General features: G+C 39.7%; 1 protein-coding gene across 4 annotated transcripts in view; it reads left to right on the top strand.

The window, feature by feature from the left end:
- Positions 1 to 23,771, top strand: part of CDH11 (cadherin 11) — a 179,992-nt gene that overhangs the window by 116,868 nt on the left and 39,353 nt on the right. For 2 of the 4 annotated variants that reach the window (NM_001797.4, NM_001308392.2), the window contains exons 3-7: positions 1,836 to 2,235; positions 8,021 to 8,315; positions 13,843 to 13,962; positions 14,942 to 15,109; positions 18,533 to 18,720. In NM_001797.4, the coding sequence (NP_001788.2) occupies positions 2,008 to 2,235; positions 8,021 to 8,315; positions 13,843 to 13,962; positions 14,942 to 15,109; positions 18,533 to 18,720 (999 nt within the window). In that variant the 5' untranslated portion in view covers positions 1,836 to 2,007. The remainder of the gene's footprint in view (positions 1 to 1,835; positions 2,236 to 8,020; positions 8,316 to 13,842; positions 13,963 to 14,941; positions 15,110 to 18,532; positions 18,721 to 23,771) is intronic. The other 2 variants (XM_047433486.1, NM_001330576.2) reach the window with 1 other exon arrangement.

Raw genomic sequence — 23,771 nt, 5'->3', positions numbered from 1 at the left:
CCCTTTATAAACCTGTCAGATCTCCTGAGACTTATTTACTATCATGAGAACAGCATGGCAAAGACCTGCAACCATGATTCAATTGCCTCCCGCTGGGTCCCTCCCACAACACATGTTGAATTCAAGATGAGATTTGGGTGGGGACACAGCTAAACCATATCAGACCTTGACCCATTATTTTTCCTGTAAATATTTCAGTAACCATCAGTGGTTTCTTGAGATCTTCCCCTATGTTGTGACACTCTGGGAAAAGAAGAAGGAACCTATTGCATGTCCAGTTCCCAACTCTGTGTTCAGGCCTGTATGGGTGCAACAATTCTTGTCATCCTCATTATTCACATGAAAACATGGAGGTTCAGAGTGATTGATTGGCATGCCCAGAGTAACCCAGATTGTAAAATATGGAAGTGGTATTCTGATCCAGATGCATCTGATCTCCAAGTCTATGTACCTTCCACTATGCCAAGATTCATGCTGTTTCCTTCTTGCTCCCTTCTTCCCTGAACCATTTCACCCAAAGAAGACAACAAAAAATTAGGTGATGACAGTGATTCCTACAATGCTCAGTAAGTTTTCCAGTTTCATTTAGACCCAGGTGCTGAAACAGAATGTTATCCTCAATATCAATGTATCATCCTCCTGCACAAGAACTTTCTCAGATTCCCTCACATTGGTGGTGAACTCATCTGATTCTCTCTCTGGAGTCTGGGTGGCACTCCAGAGAGAGAAGGTGATTCTCCAGAAAACAAATGTATGGTTCTAAGAGAGGAGAACAAGCAAGGGGAATTCCTTAGAGAAGAATAAGTTTTCAGCATGAGAAAGTCCAATGAAGAAGTCCAGAACCCAAGGCAGAAGTTAAGGACTGGCAATAAGAACCAGAGTGCTGGAGAGAGGACAAGAGTGACTGTGGCTCAGAAACCTGTGAGGAGTGTAGAAAGGTGAAAGGCATTACTGGCTTATCCTCACTGGTGTTGAGTAGCTGAGTCATGGCTGGGTGCTGGGAACATGACCTTGGGCTGGTTGGTTGGATATACTGTTTTGTTTTATTTTCCTTCTCCTAGTTAGTGAAAGCTTGTAAAATATCCTTTCTGAGACTTCCAGGCTAAGCAAGGTAGGATCTTTGGCTTCGTGGATGGATCTTTGCCAGACAAAAGCAAATCTTCCTCCTTGAATTGACACTATACCCTTAACTGATTTACCAAAGAGACCTTAATCCATTATTTCTCCTGTAAATATTTCAGTAACCATCAATGGTTTCTTGGGATCTTCCCCTACATCCCTTCCCTAACAGGATCCATTGCCTGCCCGCCTTCTTCGTTACTACCTCCAGGCATGCTGAACATCTTGGAGCACACTGTGCTTTTGGATGTGATGTTCCTTCTGCATGGAATCCCACACTCTCCTTTCTTATTACAGCAACCTCACTAAAGGATTGAGTCCAGCCATCTGTCCTCTCCCTAAACTGAACCCCAGTGTGGATTATATGTTCCTCATCTGGACTCCTTTAATTCCCCGTTTTCTTATTACAAAATCATATCTAAGCACAATTTTGATCAATTATAACAGATAAATATGGAGTGCTTACTATGTACCAGGCATTGTGCTAAGAGACTTATATGCATTACTCAGTGAATCCCAGTGACAGCTTTGTACTGGGTACACTCTTATCCCCACTTCATAAATGAGCAAGCTGAGCTCAAAGCAGTCAGTGAGCTTCCCCAAAGCCCGTAGCTCCCACGTGATAAACTCATGCCCAGTCCTGAAGGCTTACTGAAAGGAATGGAAATGAAGTGGGGATTTGGCCTGCAGTTAATCCAACCTCTCTCTGCTTGCAGAAGCTAACTGGGGACGTGGGCAGCCCTGACGTGATGAGCTCAACCAGCAGAGACATTCCATCCCAAGAGAGGTCTGCGTGACGCGTCCGGGAGGCCACCCTCAGCAAGACCACCGTACAGTTGGTGGAAGGGGTGACAGCTGCATTCTCCTGTGCCTACCACGTAACCAAAAATGAAGGAGAACTACTGTTTACAAGCCGCCCTGGTGTGCCTGGGCATGCTGTGCCACAGCCATGCCTTTGCCCCAGAGCGGCGGGGGCACCTGCGGCCCTCCTTCCATGGGCACCATGAGAAGGGCAAGGAGGGGCAGGTGCTACAGCGCTCCAAGCGTGGCTGGGTCTGGAACCAGTTCTTCGTGATAGAGGAGTACACCGGGCCTGACCCCGTGCTTGTGGGCAGGGTAAGGCTGCCTTCCCTCAATCCTGAGCTTTCCAACCCACCATTGGAATAGTCGTCTGTGGCCAGAAAGAAGCAAAAGGCCCACAGGCATCTAAGAGAGAAAACACCAATGGCTTGAAGAGCCAGTAAAACCACCCAAATATTGTACATAATATGTTATTCCAGACTTTTAAAAAAAATAATAGACTTATCCATGTTGAGAATACTTCTTAGGTTTTTCCATTTAGTTTTAGGGAGTTATATCATAAAACTCATTTACCATATTATTTAGATATGGGGTCTCTCTCTGTTGCCCAGACTGGCATGCAGTAGTGTGATCATAGCTCACTGTAATCTCAAACTCCTGGGCTCAAGGGATCCTCCTGCTTTAGCCTCCTGAGTAGCTGGGACTACAGGTTCATGCCACCATGCCTGGCTAATCTGTATTTTATTTCATTTTTTTAGAGAAAAGGTCTTGCTGTGTTGCCCAGGTTGGCTTCAAACCTCTGACCTAAGTGATCCTCCCTCATCAGCCTCCCAAAGTGCTGGGACTGCAGGCCTGAGCCACTACGCCAGGCTCAAACTCCATTTTGAATGGCTGCATAATAGCCCATTAAATGCACATAGCCATAATTTATTTAACCATTTTCCAGCTGGAGGCATTTCCCTGACCACACCCTAATCCCAACTTGAATGCTCCTCCTTTGGACCCTTTATCATAGCTTTGCTTTTTGTATTCAGTGTATCTACTTATTAATCTGTCTACTTCACTAGACTTCAAGCTACTTTGTGTCAAGGGCAGTGTCATCCTTGTGTACTTATGTCCTGATGCTAGACCCAGCTTTGAAGAGCTGAATGAATATGTACCAGAAGCTTGGGTGTGGTTTTATCCCTGTTTCCACAGGCATGGTAAAACCCAGTGAGATGACTTCCCATTCCAGGCTCTGTGGTCTCTGTGTATCCCTTCCAGAAAAGTGCAAGTGTAGAAAGAGGGTCCAAAATACAAATTCAAGAGAGTTTGGAAAATTACCTACCCACTAGCATTTGAGTAAAATGTACAGTTATCTTTCAGATGATAGTGACATTAAAACTGCAAAAAGATATGTGCGGCCAGCACAGTGGCTCACACCTGTAATCCTAGTTCTCTGGGAGGCTGAGGCAGGTGAATCACGGGATGTCAGGAGTTCAAGACCAGCCTGCCCAGTATGGTGAAACCCCGTCTCTACTAACAACACAAATATTAGCCAGGCGTGGTGGTGAGTGCCTGTAATCCCAACTACTCCAGAGGCTGAGGCAGGGGAATCGCTTGAACATGGGAAGGAGTTGTTGCAGTAAGCCAAGATGTGCCACTGTACTCCAGCCTGGGAGACAGAGTGAGACTCTGTCTCAAAAAATGAATGAATAAATAAATAAATAAATAATAAAAAAGATGATTATTAACAATGCCAGTTAATATTAACAATATTAATAGTATTATTTATTACTAATGCCATTTTCTCATTTTTGTTAAAGTATTTTTATTATTTAAGTTTAAATTATTATTATGAGACAAAGGCCTCCATCTCAAAAAAAAAAAAAACAAAGATAGATCCTTAGATACATAAGAACTGAAATCCTATCATGTGGAGCAGCTGCCGTGCTAGGCAAAATGTAAACTAGATTAAGATAGCTCCTAACCTCAAAGAGGTCTAGTGGAAAAGAGACAGTTACCTAAGCAATTAAAAAAAAAAAAAGAAAAAAAGAAAATGAATAATAGAATAATGAGGACATTCAATGTAAATGATTATGAATTTACATGGTAATATTTGGGAGGGATGTCAAAGGAAGGTTTCAAGGACAACATGGGAATAACCTGTAACCTAAAAGATGAACAGGAATTATCCAGTGGAAGGTAAAGGGGAAAGAGAATAGGTTTGAGGGGTTTCTGAACCCTACTGATTTCTACGAAGTTATCTTAATTGTTCTTTTACATGAGAACAGCACTTCATGTTCACATAATTGACATACTTGAAGGAGATTAATGTTAGAATCTCAATGACATTGTGTAAGTTTGGAAAAATTTCTTCTTGAAGAGATGTACCAAAGGAATTTCATTCATTTATATCCCAAATGGAAATATGTGGAAGTTGACGTGAGAAATGGAAATGGAAATAATTGGCATATGGAATTCCCTAAGTAGAGGAGATGGGCTGTGTGCCAGAGAGGAAAAAGAGATTTCAGCCATGACAAGGGATGTGGAGCTTAAATGTTGTGAAGGGCTGTGCATGAATCATTCTGAGATATGAATAGAACCTTCTGCTTTGGGGACTTTCTCAATGGGAAGCAGTGTGTGTGTTCAGATTGGGGGTTGCAGAAGAAACAGGATCTGGAGAGTCATTTCAGCATCTCTGGAGTAAGCAATTGTCATGCCTACTAGAAGAAAATATAGAAAAAAAAGAGGGGAAAGGAAAACTAGTATTATTCATGGTGTGTGACCTTCAAAAGCTAGGTACATGAGAATGAATCTGATGTCCGGTTGGATAGGGGAAAAATAAATAAAGTGGTTGGTCCTGTGAATCTTTCTTTTGAAATGTGCTGAGACAGTTCCCTGGAAATAGGAGGGATGGAATAGATGGTTTATTTCCTAACAACCTTTGATTTGATGACATTCAAGGTTGAGTGCTTAAGATGCCCTGAAAAAGTGAAATTTGGTAAACCATGGACTTTCAGATTTCTTGTGGAAATACAGCCTGTGTCATGCTGTGCTATGCAGAGAGGGAAGCCATTCATCTTTGGAGTTAGGAATTGGCTGCGTATGCCTCAGCAACTGGATCCCTTGATAGCACTGAATGGTTTCTGAAACTGGGTTTTTGTTTTTTTTTTTAATGTGTGTGTGTGTCTGTGTGTGTGTGGAGCCTAGTAAGTATCCATGTCAGTTGTATAAATCATCTTTGTTAGACACAAAAAAGGGAAGTTATGTCCTACTTTCCAACCTGAAAACAAAGTAGAAAAATAATAGGAAATGTTTTGTTAAATTTTTAGTTATTTGGCTGATCATGAAATAGATCCATTTAATTTTCAAGAAACTTGCCAAATTCACATGTAATATATGAAGGCCTCTAGAAAGATTCAATGTCTGGGCATTCCCATTAAAGTCAGCATTTTATTTATACTTTCTTGTTCCTCATTCGTATGTCCTTGCCCTTAACTTCTGCCAGGTGTGCAGCAGGGTAAATAGAAGAACAAAGGTAAGCCTCCCCTAAGATGGCGGTGTGGGGCAGAAATTTTGCCTTCATTAAGGAAACTTGGCTGAATGAAGATTGGGGCAATTCTGTTCATCCGTCATAGGCCATCAAACAGCTTTGTATTTTACTGTCAAATGGACTTATTCATCAGAAATGTGTTAGCCATAATTTCACGACAACACATTGTTATGAATAACAAATGCTGAAGAAAAGTCTGTTTATTTTTTCCCCCTAGAAACAAAGAGGACTGAAAACAAAATGGTCTTTGTAATTCATACCTACAGGTAACCCCCGAGCTGAAATAATTGGGGTTTCACTGAAGCGCTGCAAATCAATTAGATATCTTTGGGGATATTGAAACAATACAAAATTTTTTAAAATCTATGTATTCAACCTTGCTTTATAAGCAAGGTCTCTAGGCCTTAGTCTCATAATAATAATCATGAGTTAAGGTCTCTAGGCCTTAGTCTCATAATAATAATTTAAATCAAAATAATAAATACCAATTTTAACAAAAATATGAAAATGGCATTAGTAATAAATAATACTATTAATATTGTTAATATTAAATGGCATTGATAATAATCATAGTTTTTATTATTTTATTTAATTAATTAATTTATTTATTTTTGAGACAAAGTCTCACTCTGTCTGCCAGGCTGGAGTACAGTGGTAAGATCTCAGCTCGCTGCAACCTCCACCTCCTGGTTTCAAGCGATTCTCCTGCCTCGGCCTCCCAAGTAGCTGGGATTACAGGTGCAAGCTATCATGCCTGGTTAATTTTTGTATTTCTTCTAGAGATGAGGTTTCAGCATCTTGGCCAGCATGTTGGCCAGGCTGGTCTCGAACCCCCGACCTCAAGTGATCTGCCTGCCTCAGCGTCCCAAAGTGCTGAGATTACAGGCATGAGCCAATGTGCCTGGCCTCTTTTTATTATTTTAAATGTCATTTGAATAAAGCTCTCTAGTTTACAAAGGGTTTTCTTATTTAGTAGGTAGAACCAAGGTCTTTTTCTCTACTTGACTGCTCTTGAAGCCCACTAGAACAGTAAAAATAATGCTTACTTTTTCCCACAAAGGGCAGAATGAGGACCAAGGAACTCGGATTAAAAGACAGCTGCAGAAATTGAGATTGAACAACAAGGCGGGGTGAGGAGTTTTTTGCTACAGGAAAACCAGATGTGATTTTTGGGAGACTTTCATGTTTGAAAACACAGAGCAGAGTGAGGGCAGAACAGAAGATGATTGGTAGTTAAGAGACCTAGTTGATTTCTTGGACCTGACAAGTGTGAATTTAGGCAAATATCATCTTATCTCTAAGCTCTGTCAAAGAAGAAAAACTTGGGGATGTTTAAGATTCTTTCTGACACCTAAGAAATTGTATACATATCAACCCATGCCACTAGTCCTACCTACCTTTAGCATTAGAATGGACACTTCTTCCAGGCAGGCCACATCCCCAGATCCTCATACCCTGTGTACCGCAAAGCAGGTCTTCTGGAAAGGTCTGATAAGTTGAATTGTTTGTAGTAACAAAAGCCAGGAAACAAGCTAAGTGTTCTTTAGAAAGGACTGCTAAAACGAACAACAAACAAACAAAAACATTGGCCAGGCATGGTGGCTCATGTGTGTAATCCCAGCACTTTGGGAGGCCAAGGCAGGCAGATCACTTGAGGTCAGGGGTTCGAGACCAGCCTGGGAAACATGGTAAAACCCTGTCTCTACTAAAAATACAAAAATGAGCTGGGTATGGTAGCATGTGCCTGTAATCCCAGCTACTTGGGAGGCTGATTTAGGAGAAATCGCTTGAACATGGGAGGCAGAGGCTGCAGTGAGCCGAGATCATGCCATTGCGCTCCAGCCTGGGCAACAGAGTGAGACTCCACCTCAAAAAAAAAGAAAAACCCAAAACAAAAAATTTTTTAAAAAATAATAACCTCCATACAGTAGATGAGGAAGATCTATAGTTATAAATGTGGAATAGTCACCTGAATTTATTGTTAGAGGAAAAGGATGAAGTGAAGAATGATGTGTGTACTCTGGAACTTTATTGTATAACAATAAACTAGGGTACATATGTATCTGTGTAGATTTCCTTGCATATGCATAGAATAGAATATCTCTTATAGGATTCACAAGAAACTGGTTACAGTGATTGTCTCTGAACAGAGGAGAAAATGAAGGAATGGGAGTCAGAGCTGAGAGGAAGACTTACTTATTGCATGAATGTTTGCTTATATATTTTTAAAAATAAACATACATTTATTTCAAACTATTGACAGATACGTTTAGGTTTTTATATTTTGCATATGCGCATATATATGGAGAGAGGTGAAAGGAGAGCATGAATCTTAGAATTAAAAATATATATATTTGAACTCTGGCTTCACTGTTCTGCAGTGTGACCTTGGCCAAGGCTATGATATTCTCTAAGATTGCCTTTCTCCTGTTGTAAAATGGAGATGAGAACATCTCCCTTTCATGACGTGTGTGTGTGCGCAGCAGATTGTTGCAATCACTTGTAAGTGAGTTTCCCCACTGCTTTCCTCATGGAATTAAAAATCTCAATTTCTCTTTCTTCCAGCTTCATTCAGATATTGACTCTGGTGATGGGAACATTAAATACATTCTCTCAGGGGAAGGAGCTGGAACCATTTTTGTGATTGATGACAAATCAGGGAACATTCATGCCACCAAGACGTTGGATCGAGAAGAGAGAGCCCAGTACACGTTGATGGCTCAGGCGGTGGACAGGGACACCAATCGGCCACTGGAGCCACCGTCGGAATTCATTGTCAAGGTCCAGGACATTAATGACAACCCTCCGGAGTTCCTGCACGAGACCTATCATGCCAACGTGCCTGAGAGGTCCAATGTGGGTGCGTACGGTGTGGGAGGCCTGCTCTGCTTCCAGGCCTGGTGTCTCTGTGGTGGGTGGGCTGAAGCCCGTTCTCCCAAATCAGGAAGTAGAGCTTCTTCTTTATCTTTTATGGCAAAATAACAAAAGGAACAAAAATTCTTTTGTTCCTCTGTAAAATGGGAATAACAATTTCTAGTCTTGTAGGAATAGAGATAATATACATCCAGTCGCTAGTGCGTATTGATGTCTAATAGGTAATGACACTGGTAATATCTGTTGCCTGTAGACATTGTGCTAATTAATGACTTACATGCACTATTTTATTTAGCTTTTGCAATGATTAATCTTTACAATGAGGTAATTCCAACTCACCGTATTTCACAGATAGGAAACCCATGCCAGAAACAAGCTAACTAATTTCTGTAGGGACATTTGAGCTATTAAATGGATCTAAAATGCACATTTAACCACAGCACTATGTCACTATGTTCAGAAGTACGTATATCTTTTCAACATGCTTGAAGACACATTAAGTTGCTAAAGGATAATTTTTTAAAGGATTTATTCAAAGAATTAGCCACCTTCTGGCAATAGCCTTCTTTATAACATGCACATAATGAAACATTTGCATAATGTTTCTTTTGAGAAACATTCCTCATATTAAGAAAGGTTTGTCTTTCAAACAGTGAGTAGAACTGTTCTAATCAGGGAGTGAGTCTGCTTAAAAGAGTTTTAGAGCTCAAATGAATTCAGGAACATTTTACAGATGAGAAAATCCAGCAAGTATAGGAATCAACCTACTTAAGAAAGATAGGTTTGACTCTAGAACGCTAAGATCCTTCCACTGTGCATACAGAGCTTTTTATGCCAGAAAATGGTATATTCCTTCTCCACCAGGAAAAGTCAAGTACTTATCAAAAGCCAGCCTGAACCATTTCCCACCTTTGTCTCTTCCATTTTCCCTGCCCAGTCCTTCAGCCTCTTGGTGTTTAGCCTGTGTATTATAATGAGAAACAACAAATATCAAATAAATCCATACAGAGGAAACAGCAGTGTCAGCAACTGAGTGTCAAGGGTGGGGATGGGGTGGAAAGGCAAATCATCAAAATATATAATCCAGGAAAATTTTCATTATTCTCACCTTTGCGGGCTCATTGATGTTTAGGGATAAAATTCAGGCTTTTTTTTTTTTTTTAGTTTCAACTTTTATTTTAGATTCAGGGGGTACATGTGCAGGTTTGTTTATTTATTTATTTATTTATTTATTTATTTATTTATTTTGAGACAGAGTCTCCCTCTGTTACTCAGGCTGGAGTGCCGTAATGCCATCTTGGCTCACTACAACCTCTGTCTCCCGGCTTCAAGCAATTCTCCTGCCTCAGCCTTCTGAGTAACTGGGATTACAGGAGCGCGCCACCACGCCCGGCTAATTTCTTTGTATTTTTATTACGGACGGGGTTTCACATGTTGTTCAGGCTGGTCTTGAACTCCTGACCTCAAGTGATCCACCCACCTCAGCCTCCCAAAGTGCTGAGATTACAGACGTGAGCCACCGTGCCCGGCCCATGTGCAGGTTTATTGAGTGAATATACATGAATATACTGTGTAACACTGAGGTTTGTGGTATGAATGACCCCATCACTCAGGTAGTGAACAGAGTAACCAACAGATTTCGGCACTTGTCCTCTGGCTCCACTCTAGTAATCCTGTGTTTATTATTCCCACTGGGTAAACATTGGGTTCATTTATACCTCCAGTTATAAATGAAAGCATGTGGTATTTGGTTTTCTGTTCCTGTGTCAATTTGCTCAGGATAATGGCCTCCAGCTGCATCCGTGTTGATGCAAAGGCATGATATTATTCATGCCACCATGCATAGTATTCCATGGTACATATACACCACATATTCTTTATCCAATCCACTGTTGATGGGCACCTTGGTTGACTCCATGTCTTCGCTATTGTGAATAGTGCTGCAATAAATATACAAGTGCAGGCGTTTTTCTTGTAGAACGATTTATTTTCCTTTGGGTCTATAAAGAGTAATGGGATTGCTGGGTTGAATTGTAATACTTTTTTTTTTTTTTTTCTGAGACAGAGTCTCGCTCTGTTGCCCAGGCTGCAGTGCAGTGGCACGATCTCGGCTCACTGCAATCTCTGCCTCCTGGGTTCAAACGATTCTCCTGCCTCAGCCTCCTGAGTAGCTGGGATTACAGGCGCCTGCCACCACACTGGCTAATTTTTTTGTATTTTTAGTACACAGGGGTTTTGCCATGTTGGCCAGGCTGATCTGGAACTCCAGACCTCAGGTGATCTGCTCACCTCGTCCTCCCAAAGTGCTAGGATTACAGGCATAAGCCACCGTGCCCAGCCTTGAATTGTAATTCTGTTTTTTTTGAGACTTCTCCAAATTGCTTTTCAGAGTGACCTAATGTACATTCCAACCAGCAGTGTATATGTGTTCCCTTTTCTCCACATCCTCACCAGCATGTTATTTTTTGACTTTTTAATCATAGCTATTCTAACTAGTGGGAGATGGTTTCTCATTATGGGTTTCATTTACATTTCTCTGATGTTTAATGACGACCAATTTTTTTATATTTGTAAGCCATTTGCATATCTTCTTTTGCTAAGTGTCCATCCATGTCTTTTGCCCACTTTTGCCCACATTGTTTTTTTACTTGTTGAATTGTTTAAATTCCTTATAGATTCTGGATACTAGACCTTTGTTGGGTGTGTAGTTTGTGAATATTTTCTCCCATTCTGTAGGTTGTCTCTTTACTCTGTTTATAGTTTCCCTTTGTTGTGCAGAAGCTCTTTAGTGTAATTAGGTCCTGCTTGTCAATTTTTATTTTTGTTGCAATTTCTTTTGAGGACCTAGTCATAAATTCTCTCCCAAGGCCAATGTCCAGAATGGTGTTTCCTGGGTTTTTTTCTCTAGGGCATTTATAGTTTGAGGTCTTACATTTAAATCTTTAATTCATCCTGAGTTAATTTTTGTATATGGGGAAAGGTAGGGGTCCAGTTTCACTCTTCTGCATGAGGCTAGCCAGCTATCCCAGCATTATTTATTGATTAAGGAGTACTTTCCTCATTGCTTAATTTTGTCAACTTTGTTGATGATCAGATGGCTGTAGGTGTGTGGCTTTATTTCTGGGTTCTCTATTCTGTTCCACTGGTCTATGTGTCTGTTTTTGCACCAGCAACATGCTATTTTGGTTACTGTAGCCTTGTAGTATAGCTTGAAGTTGGGTAAGGTGACTCCTCCAACTTTTTTCTTTTTGCTTAGGATTGCTTTGACTATTCGGGCTCTTTTTTGGTTCCATATGAGTCTTAGAACAGTTTTTTTTTCTAATTCTGTGAAAAAATGATGTTGCTAGTTTGATAGAAATAGCATTGAATCAGTAGATTGCTTTGGGCAGTGTAGCCATTTTAATGATATCAAATGGGAAAACATTCTATGCTCATGGGTTGAAAGAATCAATATCATTGAAAGGATCAATATTCCATTTGTTTGTGTCATCTATGATTTCTTTCAGCAGTGTTTCGAAATTCTCCTTGTACAGATCATTTACCTCCTTGGTTAGATGTATTCCTAGGATTTTATTGTTTTGTGGCCCTTGTGAATCGCACTGTATTCTTGATTTGGTCCTCAGCTTGAGTGTTATTGATGTATAGAAATGCCGTTGACTTTTGTACCTTGATTTTGTATTCTGAAGCTTCACTGAAGTTGTTGATCAGTTCTAAGAGCCTTTTGGCAGAGTCTTTAGAGTTTTCTAGGTATAGAATCATATCATTAGTGAAGAGAAATAATTTGACTTCTTCTTTTCCTATTTCGATGTCTTTTATTTCTTGCTCTTGCCTCATTGCTCTGATTAGGACTTCCAGTACTATGTTGAATAGGACTGGTGAGAGTGGGCATCCTTGTCTTATTCCTGCTCTGAAGGAGAATGCTTCCAGCTTTTGCTCATTCAGTGTGATGCTGGATGTGGCTTTGTCATGGATTGCTCTTATTATTTTGAGAACTCAGACATTGTATTATGGCATATGACAGTACAGTCGTTGTTGTCAGACAGTACTATGAATCATGGCTGTACTCCTAATCAGCCTTACGAACCCAGGCAACCTATTATACCTTTCTAAGTTTTTATTTTGCCATCTATAAAATGAGGATAATATAAACTATGTTGAAGGTTAAATGAAATAGATGTGAAATACAAAACCATTGTAAAGGATGTAGCAGAGTTCTAGAAGGAAATTAAGCATTTAAAATTAATAATTTCCCTAGCCACACCATGATGGTATTTTCCTTTATAAATCTATCCTGCCTAGAATAGTGACTGACAAATGGGAAGAGCTCCAAAGAGATTGTTTCTATGAAATAATGAATTATAGAAGAGTAACTAGAAAAAAGTGAGATGTACACCACACAAAAATCACTGACAATCCTATAAATTAAAGGTAGTGATAGGCTGTGTAAACTGGCTCCCTTGCCTCCCACATAGAACCTTGCCCCTCTGCTGAAAATGTTACAGAAATAACTTGAGTTTTGTTGTGTGCTGGATTGGGGTTAGACTTTGGCAATTACCAACTTTGTGAAATAGATTACAAAGCTTCATATATCTCAAGTTCAATTTCTCACTAATACAGTAGATGTAAAAAATGCCCAGCAGAGGAATGCTGGCAAAATACATGGAATGTGCCCCCAGATCATGCTGGCACAGAGAAATTCGATAATTACTGGTTTTCTTCTTCCAGCTCCTCTCTCCCCACTCTGAAGCCCAACATGCCATGCCCCAGATACTTGCTATTTGTGACCAGCCAGGAACAAAGGTTGTTTTTAGGAAAAGCAGAACCCCATCTTTCTTCAATTTCCTGGTTTCCCTTCGTTCTGACCCATGAATGCTTCCCTTACCTCTCACCAGATGTTTACTGGTGATTTCTGTTATATGGCTACCAGACCAGCTACAGGTGGGAAGATGCAATTTTCATGCCAGTAGGGAACAGCATTCTGCTCAGTATTTATGGCCATAAATTAATTAAATTGTAGAATTAGCAGCAATTTTATTACATGCAAAGCAACAATAAAATGATGTATTTATTGTTCTGCTACAGATGGAAGATTGCACTCTGTCCTTTCCTGAAAGCAATTTATCGTTAATTATCATTTATTATACTCTGGGAAGATTTTAATGTAATTATTTGATATACTGAACATTTCAAGTGCATGAGTTGTAAGATATTTTTGCAATAATATTTATAATATTATTTTAATCACCAACCAATGTAGGATGTACTATAAATACAGAAAGTTCATTTTTAAACTGTGGCCATTTTTATAGAGCAGGAAGGAAGGAAGGAAGGAAGGAAGGAAGGAAGGAAGGTTGGTTGGCTGGTTATTTTGCATCTCAACTCCAGGAAAATGAGAGAATGTTGAATAATTGTGGTGCCTTCTTCAGGGTTAATTTTAGAATAAAACTTTGTAAACAAGAACATAATTTGAAAATCTGAGGAGATGTTGCTAATTAATTTATTTCACTTTTAAGGAACGTCAGTAATCCAGGTGACAGCTTCAGATGCAGATGACCCCACTTATGGAAATAGCGCCAAGTTAGTGTACAGTATCCTCGAAGGACAACCCTATTTTTCGGTGGAAGCACAGACAGGTACTGTGGAATGTCACTGTGATTTGTGACACATGGTGAATAAGAAGTCCCAGGCCTGACCAGAACTTATTTAATACTCTGTTTTCTCAAATATGAAAAAGGAATACAGAGGGCTACCCTATAGGGTTAGTGTGAGGATTAGATACTTGGCCTGTGCCTATCACACAGTTAGTACACCATGAAACATTTATTGTTGGTTTTCCCATATTTCACGATGACCCAATAACAACTATAATCTAAAAACTCAACTTTAATATCAGAAGTAAGAGAGCAATAAGGACTAAGTCTTCCACAGTGCTCTCTATATTCCTCACATAACTGTTGCCATATCTACAGAGAGAAAAAGCTTCCAAAGGTCTCCTAAAGATTTAAGTGAGCATGGCACTCATGTGCCAATATCCAGCAATCATGCAGAATTCAGTTATTAATTTATCATTGTTTTCCGTGACAGGTGATAATAGACAGTATGTGCTTATATGAGCATTGTATATATTTTAACCGATTTGGTTCACTCTTTTAAAAATTAATATTTACACTTTAATGTATTGCATGAAATATGCACCTCCTGCTTTAAACTTAATATGCACCATCAAAACATTTCCATGAATTGTATGTAGCAATAGACTTACAGAAGATTGTGCTGGAAGTCAAAAAGTATGAGTTTAGTCATGGATATTCATGCAATGACCACTCAAGTATTTCAGTCTTTAGGGTGTTTATATCTGAGAAGAATAGGGTTATTACTTGAATGTACAACAAAACATAAATACAAATGCTGTATAGTAATTTTTATGATTTGCTTGAAAAGACATAATGATGCTTCAGTATGGCTGCCTTTGGTTGTAATTACCATGTTGAAATGATTCTTGCTGAGGGCATGGGATATTTTATTCAGCATTGCTTCCTCAGTGCTCAGAACTTTCTTGTTGTCATAATGTTATAAACGAATATCTGTGATGTTGCCTGCTTACCTGTCCAGGTATCATCAGAACAGCCCTACCCAACATGGACAGGGAGGCCAAGGAGGAGTACCACGTGGTGATCCAGGCCAAGGACATGGGTGGACATATGGGCGGACTCTCAGGGACAACCAAAGTGACGATCACACTGACCGATGTCAATGACAACCCACCAAAGTTTCCGCAGAGTAAGTAGGTGGACTTGGCTTTCACTTTTCCATGGTGACACAGCCAGCTCTCTCCCTCCTCTAACCTATTCCTGCTTTACTGAGGTATCAAAAAGAAAATCTAGAAAACTAAGGGCAATTCATATCATTCTTACAAAAACAAAACACAAAAACAAGACAACAACAACAACAACAATGTCGGGGAGTAGAGGTAGTAGGAGAATGAAAAGATGTAAAAAGTTCTACAACCCTGGAAACAAAATATCGTTTTTGCTAAGTATTTTGCTTGGTAGTAGTGATGCAATCTAGTAATTAATTAACCCTTTTCTGCCTCAGTGTCCTCATTTCTAACCTGGATATAACAGTCCCTGAATCAGTTATCAATTACTGTGTAACAAATTGCTGGAAAACTTAGTGGTTTAAAACAATAAAAATAATAACAATAATTTGTTTTTATCATGTGTCTGGAATTTGGGCAAGGCTTGGAGGAGACAGCATGCCTCTGTTCTCCATAGCAACAACTGGGGATAGCTCCACTGGGGTTGGAGGATCCACTTCCAAACCAGCTTACTTGCATGGCTGGCAAGTTTGTGTTGATTGCTGCTTCCTTTCTGCGTGGGCTGGTTTTGGAAAGTGTGATCCCCAAGGGCACCAGGCAGAAATTGTCTTGCCTTTTGTTAACTAGCTTCAGAAGTTTCCACTGGAAACTGGAGTCATAAGCCACCAAATGTTTCCACTGGAGTCATAAGGCTCACAAATCTAAGGGGAGTTCATGTAGACCCCACCTTTCAATGGAAGACCTGTCAAAGTCATGTTGAAGGAAAAGCATGTGGGATGGGAGATATTGTTTTGGCCATGTTTTGGAAAATACAGTCTTCCACAGTACCTAATTAATAGGATTACTGTTTGAACTAAAGGAGCTAGTGTAAAATCTTATAATGACAACTGTCTATAAGTCGTCAACAAATTCTAGCCATTGTTATCTGGGGGATTATGGCTGTTCTACAAAATTTATAAAATTGCAGAGGGAATTAAATGAAAAACAATGATTTTGAAAGGTTATTATTAATAATTGTAATTATAGCAACTACCATCATTTAATGAATAGTCACTACTATTGTAAATCTCTGCAGGAGCCTACATTTTACAGATAAAACTGGTTTCCGTAAAAAGTGCATAAGTTGCCCTAGAAATGTGGCAAAGTCAGAGTTTGAACACAAGTCTGTCTATGTATGTACAGATGTGTATGAATGGACAGTATGACTGTGGTGCTGCTGGTGCTGCTAATGCATGGGGGGGTTCATCATGAAAGTGTCTTTTTCAGTTAGAGCCTGTGAGCTTACTATCAGAGAAATGGAACATTTTGCAAATGAGATAACAAGGAAGGCTACTAAATGTGGCCCCAGGAAGGCACTGTGGTTACTCAAAGGAATTCAAAAGCAAGAATCTACACAAGACTCTTTTGCCTGGCCGGGCACAAGTTCAGCATCCTCAATAAGCCTGAGGCTCATATAACATTCAAAGAGCTGCATGCTCCATTATCCACACTGTACGATTGTCTGGTGAGCTGGAAAAGAAAGGTCAAGCAGAATTATTAGCAGGCAGCCTTTACTGCCCTTGGTCATAGACAATCATATAGTAAAGTTACATTGCTACTGTACTGGTTTTACTGGTTTCACTGCCGTGAACTTGAATGAGATTTGGACAAAATCCACATAGGACATTTTTTTTTAAACCTTCACATTAATTGGTAATTATCTACAAGGGACTCCCACTTCCCACTCATCCTTTAATATAGAGGGCATGGTGAGATTAAATAGATTATGAATCCAAAAGAAAGTTGCAAAGCAAAATACTATTGATAAATATAGACAAAGTATTAGAACTGATGAAATCTCTGTAAGGGGAAATTAAAACATAATGAGCTGAAGTAACTTGCCCAAGACCACTTTGCTTGGAAATGATAGAGGAAAGATTTTCAACCCTGGCTTCCCTATATTGTGTGTTGCACAGAGTATTAAATGTGAAAAGCAAATAAGATAATGTTGAATCTTAGCTACTTAGTGCAAACCTTCCAGTGATTTCCCCAAGTTTAAACAAAACCTGAAGTCTTTTCCATTCCCCACAATGGTCTATTTTACGCAATTTGGCCTCCACTTCCTTACAGCCCTTCTCTCTCACCAGAAGGCTGTAGTCACTCTCCTCCTCTTGCTCCTCTGCAAGTATTCAGGATCTTCTCACCTTAGGGTTTTTGCCATTTGCTAATCACCTGGCTGGTAGTTTTTATCCTGCAGATATGCACGTCATTGTCTTCCTCAGTCATTTTAGATTCCTTTTTCTAAAGAATGTCTTCTCCTACCACACTACGCAAAACCAATCTCTCCCTCTTTCTGCTTATCACCCACACATTATTAACACAAGCATGCGTGTTCAATCACACTCATACACATACACAAACTCACTCACAAATAGCTCACATTCATACACACACTCACACTCTTACACAACAGATTCATGCCCACACAATCACTCATGGCCACTCACACATTTACCCCCTCACCCTCACACACAATCATGCACTTACACACCCACAACCACACACCCACTCTCAGAACCCTCACCCTTTTACCCTACTTTATTTTCCTTTTTCATTGCAGTGACATCAGAGTGTGTTTACATTTGTTTTTATTTTTTCTCTTTAGTCGGCCTCATTAAGAGAGGAATCTTGACTGTTTTGTTTAGTAGTAAACAAAACAAGCAAACAAAACAGTGTCCTGGCACTAGGACAGTACCTCCATGTACAGTATTAGGCTCCCAATAAACATTAAATAAATATATAGGAGGGTCACACTGCAGGAAAGCCTTCTGGAGAAGGTAACGCATGACCAACTTGTGAAGCAGGCAAGTTGCGAAGGAGGTGAAATAAGGGGAGTGTCGAATATAGAGTTAGACAGGGAGGGATGTTAAAGTTTGCATTTTTAAAGTAACTATGGAGCTGTTGAAGGAAGGCTTTTAAACAGAGAATTTTTTTTTTCTGGGCTCTTCGCAATACCATAAGTGAGCCTTGGAGTTAACTCATGGACCATCCTGAAGACATGAAAAGAAGCTTCAGCTATTTTGCTAAATGAAGACATGCATGGTTCTCCATCATTACCTGATGGGAAATGTAACAGAGCATTGTTTTTCTCCCTTACATGTGGCAGGTGACCCCAGCATTTCACCTGGACCCAGATATTGTTTTATCACCCTTCGTAGAACACATTCTTTTGACAAGCAGGCCATGTGGGATCCTCCTCCCCACATCCACTCACTTCTTTCATGTTTTCAGTCAATAGAAAGTTCAATTTCAAATCCTTTGAGAAATTTATTGGGATTCAATGAAATCTATAGTCTTACAGCTGCCAAATAAAAGAGAAAATAAAAATAGATGTCTTCTTCTTCTAGGCGTATACCAGATGTCTGTGTCAGAAGCAGCCGTCCCTGGGGAGGAAGTAGGAAGAGTGAAAGCTAAAGATCCAGACATTGGAGAAAATGGCTTAGTCACATACAATATTGTTGATGGAGATGGTATGGAATCGTTTGAAATCACAACGGACTATGAAACACAGGAGGGGGTGATAAAGCTGAAAAAGGTGAGTTAGGGTAAGGAATCAGACGTGTCAGTGGTATGGCCTGCTCTGCCAAGGCAACACTGCAAGAAACAGGGAGGCGACGGTTAAGAAATGAGAATTTGCGAAACCAGGGGCTGACCTGACTTTGTAGTTGAGCTCTGAGCTCTGGAAGATCACAGAATTGTATTCCTTTCTGTTACTGCAGAGAAGCTGACAAAGGGGCTGGTGATACCTGCCTGAGATTGCTAGTTAGTTCTTAAATGTTTTCCGATGGAGGGAAGCACAGTTCTCCCATGGAGGGAAGGACAATGAGATAAATCTAGATTTTGAAGAAGCAGCCCTGAGCATGCATGGAATTCCCCCCTTAGCTCTGCCACACTGAATCTGTTAGATAAGCTGTTCAGAACTCTTACTGTTTCAACATTCAAGATTCACTGCATTGCTGGACCCTCTGTGAAACTGAAGCCTTCTCTACTTGTTTTTATCTCAAGTGAACCTGGAGAAGCAACAATAATGGACCTTCTCCCCTAGTCAAAGAGCCTGTGGACCTCCCCTCATAGTCAGTCTCCAAAAACATGTATCTGGAATTAATTTATTACAAAGAGAAGTTTAGTGTTTCTTCTTTTTTACATGCGCTCAATACTGACTACTGGCCAGACACAGCACCATCCTCTTACAAACATCATTTCATTTACTTTTCACAAAAACAAACAAAAGTATGAAGTAGGTAGTGTTATCCCAATGGGCAAAGAGACCTCAACTTAATTTTGAGGAGATTGGGGCTCAGACAGATGAAATCATTTGACCCAGTCACTGTCATATAGCTCAGGCATGCCGACCTGGAATTCACACCTTAGTTATTCTAGAACAACTTCCCTCTCAAGACATTTTGAAAACAGCTGGCCTGGAAAGCGTTTGTAAAGAAGAGCCAGATAAGATTCACTTCCAAGTGAAGAAATAATTCCCGTACATTCTAAAAAGGTTTCCCCCCGTGATTTACCACTTGAGAAATCAACACCTCTCCATCATGAAAGTGTATGGAGCATTAAATCGGAATTGGAAGATGGGATTACCTTGGTTTTAATCAAGCGTTCATTTTCAACTTAGTTTTATAGCATGAATATTAAACTCCTTGGTGCGATGGAAAAGACTGGACTCTAACACTGATAGAAAATTAATTTGAAGCATCAATAAAGAGGCCAGTAGCTAAAGAGGAGGGAAGGACCAGTGGGGGAAGACAGGTCCTGAAAGGAATCTTTCAGGTGGGGGAGCAAGGAGTGACCTGTGCTAAGAAACTGACCTTTCACAGACTTTTAAAGTATGTTGGGGTTGGGGAAAATATTATAGAGCACAAAACAAAGAAAAGGTAGGGGGTGATTGTTATAAAAAAAGAAAGAAAATGAAGGATATGGAAATTGGGGTGAAATTTGGATACTTGGAAAAGTCTACATTAATGGATGAATGGTAGGACCGAGGAAGCCTAATTATCAACCACAGGGAGCTAGGGCAGTCACTAATTCTGGTTTCTCCTCTGGAAAAGTAGCTGTGTGAATTGTGTGTTGCCTAGAGCTGTCAACTTACTTCGTTAATTAATATTACTATCTCTTCTGCTTGACACTGACATATGAACATTGACATCAGCAATTCCTGCCTCCCATCCTTTGCTGTTCATGTAATTGGGTAGTTGGTTATGCTAAGGTTGTCACCTGTTTTTAGTGTATTCAGGGCATAAACACACACTGTATCTCTGAAATCCTGAAACATTTAAATCACCCCCATGGAACTCACACGTCGCAAATGAGCTCTCTGCATATGATTAATTTGCACATTTGCCTCCAATTCAGTGTGTTTATTCTAGGCAAAGGAATAATCTTCTATAAAGCACTGATGCTTAGGTTTTAAATAGTGTAAGATGTTATTGCATTTGTAAAAGAACATTTGCTCAAACTTCTAGCACAAAGTTCCAAATGTCCACCGGGGGAAAAAAAAGAAAAATTATAGATGAATTTAACAGAGTAAAAATATGACTCCTTGTGAAAGTCATTCCATGCAATTTAATACTGTAAAAGTCTATAGAGACATTATGGCAATATTTCTGCATTTTAAAGTATTTTTTAACTTAGTGTTTTTATTTATTTCCTAATTTATTCACCCATTTTTCCACCAAGAGTTATTGAGTTCTTACTATTTGTCAGGCAGGCCCTTTGCCAGAGGCTGGAAATCTAAAGTTGAAGAGGCAGAGTCTTGACCACAGGGAGTTCACAATTTAACAGGACAGTGAAGTGATACAATAATTAAAACCGAGAGGGTTTTCTCAGCCTTAGCAGTGTTGATGTCTAGGGCTGGATAATTCTTTGTTGTAGGAGGCTGTTCTGCGCATTGTAGGATATTTGGTAGTATCTAGTATCCCAGGCTTCCCCTCACTAAAGGTCATTAAGCACGTGCTCTACCCCACCCAACAGTCCTGATAATAATAATAAAAATAATTACTCTAGACATTGCCTAATAGCCCTGGAGTAACTGGGAGCAAAATCACTCCCCAGTTGAAAATTGACTGCAATAGTGTGATAAGGCCTATGCACATGGGACATGAATGACTTCTTGTGGGGGCAGTTCTCAAGCTGAGTCTTGATAGATGAGGAGAAATTTGCTGGATAGTTAAGGACAGAAAAGGCAGAAAAAATAACTCATGATGGGCTAGTATCAATGGAAACAGGACACATTTAAGAAACTGCAATACCTTCAATCTTGAGAATCTTAAGATATATACGGTAAAACCAACAAACAAACTTGTTAAAATTCAAGGGAGATGTTACAAAGAATTGAAGAAGGTAGAAGAGGTAGTGAGATAGTAGTGAAGGAGAAGAATTCAAGAAATAATTACTAGATAGAATCATTCATTTATTGAATATTTTAGAAAACAATAAATACCTCTTGAGTTCTGACTGTGTCTTAGTTTAATAGTGCACAGGAAAGAGAGAAACTACCCTTGGGGTATTTGGACAATCTCTGTGTGGTTAGCTGAGGAAGAACCAGGGTCAAATAAAGATGAGGTTTTAGGTGGCTTCGTGGACTTAGAGGGGAAAATCCAATCTGTTCACGCAGCACCTTTGACTAAATGGGAATCCCATCTATCTCAGAGAAATCACCGCACAGTGTCTGAGCTATTTATTTTCAACCAGATAAACTCCTTGAAAAGCAGTGTCAGAGCAGAATTATAAGGCATTTTTAATATTCCCTGTTTTAATAAAACTCTTTTTATGTTTGATTTTTCTTTATATTCTTTGTCCGCACGTATATAGATGTGGATACATAACATTTAACACGGTTGCAATCAGAGGGTGATCTGATTTGTTAACTTAATGTCACATCATAAACATTTTACATGCTGTTATATAATGTACATAATCATTTTTAATGACTACATAACATCCCATCCTATTGACGAATCATTATGTCCTTAATAAAATCTCACAGTTGGATTTGGTGTTTTGTGTGTACATTTCCACAGATTAGATATAACCTTCTATTATATCTAACAAATATCATGCATTTTTGAATATTGTTTGTTTTGGTTTTCTGTTGAATTAATCCCTCAGGGAAGATTTTCAGAGGTGGGATTAGTAAACTACGGGGTATTAAGAATTTTATGGCTTATGCAATGTGTTGCCTCATTTAGCTTTATTTCAACTACTCATAACATGGATATAAATGTTCACATGGGAAACTACCTCACATCTTGTTTTGGAGGGAGGAAGGGAATAAATTGTAGGCAAATGTCTAAATGTTAAGCATCTATCAGCCCCACTCTTCATTCAGTCAAAATGATGGATGCATATGATCACTTGGTACAGTCATTCTTGCCTACTGTGGGACAAAGATCAGCAAAGAGCAGTAAGACTCAGTAGACTTCTAAGGGATGCTCCCCTCCATTCCACTCCAACCCCCACCTCGCTGGGGAGGGAAATGAAGGGCTGCCAAAGGGCCACTAGGGGGCCACACAAATCTATCTGGGGCTGTTGAGGAGGACTTCACAAGGCAATGAGGCTTGAACTGACTACCAGACTTGGAATCTCGCCAAACTGGGAAAGTACATCCCACATAAACCTCTGCAAAGGCCTGGAGAGCCTAGCTTGGGATGTGAAACTGCAGCATGAGGATATTATCCTCAACACCCACAGGGCTTCCCAGTGGGAAAATAGCTCCAGGTTCTCAGGCATATGCCTAAACCAAGTACAAAAGTTTCTGCTCTAGCAAGATCAACAGACTATGTGATATTAGAAAATTTCCACTTTTCTGATTATAAATTACCCAGTCTCAGAACTATCATATTCCAGTGTTTAATGCTATCTAATATTTGAAAGGATTTTTTAGAAGTTGCAGCAATCTTGTATGTTCAGCCTATAAATATCATTCCTTTCTGCTGCTCAGTAACCTAGCCAAGGATAAAGGAACTGCTGGGTCCCAGGATGATGGAAAGGCTGGGGGCAGATTTAGATTTAGGAAAAGGTAGTGTTTCCTGACTCTGGGAAGATGGAGGTGGGAAGATGATAGAAAAAGTATCAAGGATATTGAACTTGCTTAACCCTGTTGAAACTGGGATCATCAGCTTTAGTGTAGAGTACTGCAAAATTAGATCAGGAATAAGCCCCATGACTATATGCCCATTCAGAATAAGCGTTTGCCAGGCAAATGACAACAGCATGGCAGGCAGATGCTCGCCTTAAAAGATGAAACTCTTTCCAAACATTTGGTAGTTCAGCAACATCCAGAGCACTAATTAGAAAGTTGTTTCCCAGGCAGCCGGGCTTGTTTCTCTGCTACAATGTTACTTTCCATCCTTTGCTGACTGATTCACTGTAACTCCTCTCATTCAAAATTAGGCAGTGTTTACTATCAATTTCCCTATAACTACAGCCATTCAAATGCTACTACTCATTTTTTTTCTTTCATATTTGTGTAAAATTTTACTGCTTTCATTTGTTTTTCTTTAAATAGACCATCTTTAATATATATGCATTCTTTTTTTTTTTAAAAAAAGAAGCATTTTAAAAAAGGAAACATTTCCCTTA

This window comes from Homo sapiens, chromosome 16 (genome assembly GCF_000001405.40).
Source record: "Homo sapiens chromosome 16, GRCh38.p14 Primary Assembly".
In the NCBI taxonomy this organism is placed as follows: Eukaryota; Metazoa; Chordata; class Mammalia; order Primates; family Hominidae; genus Homo; species Homo sapiens.
Note: the sequence above shows the minus strand (reverse complement) of the source record. Positions and strands in the feature narration are given on the sequence as shown.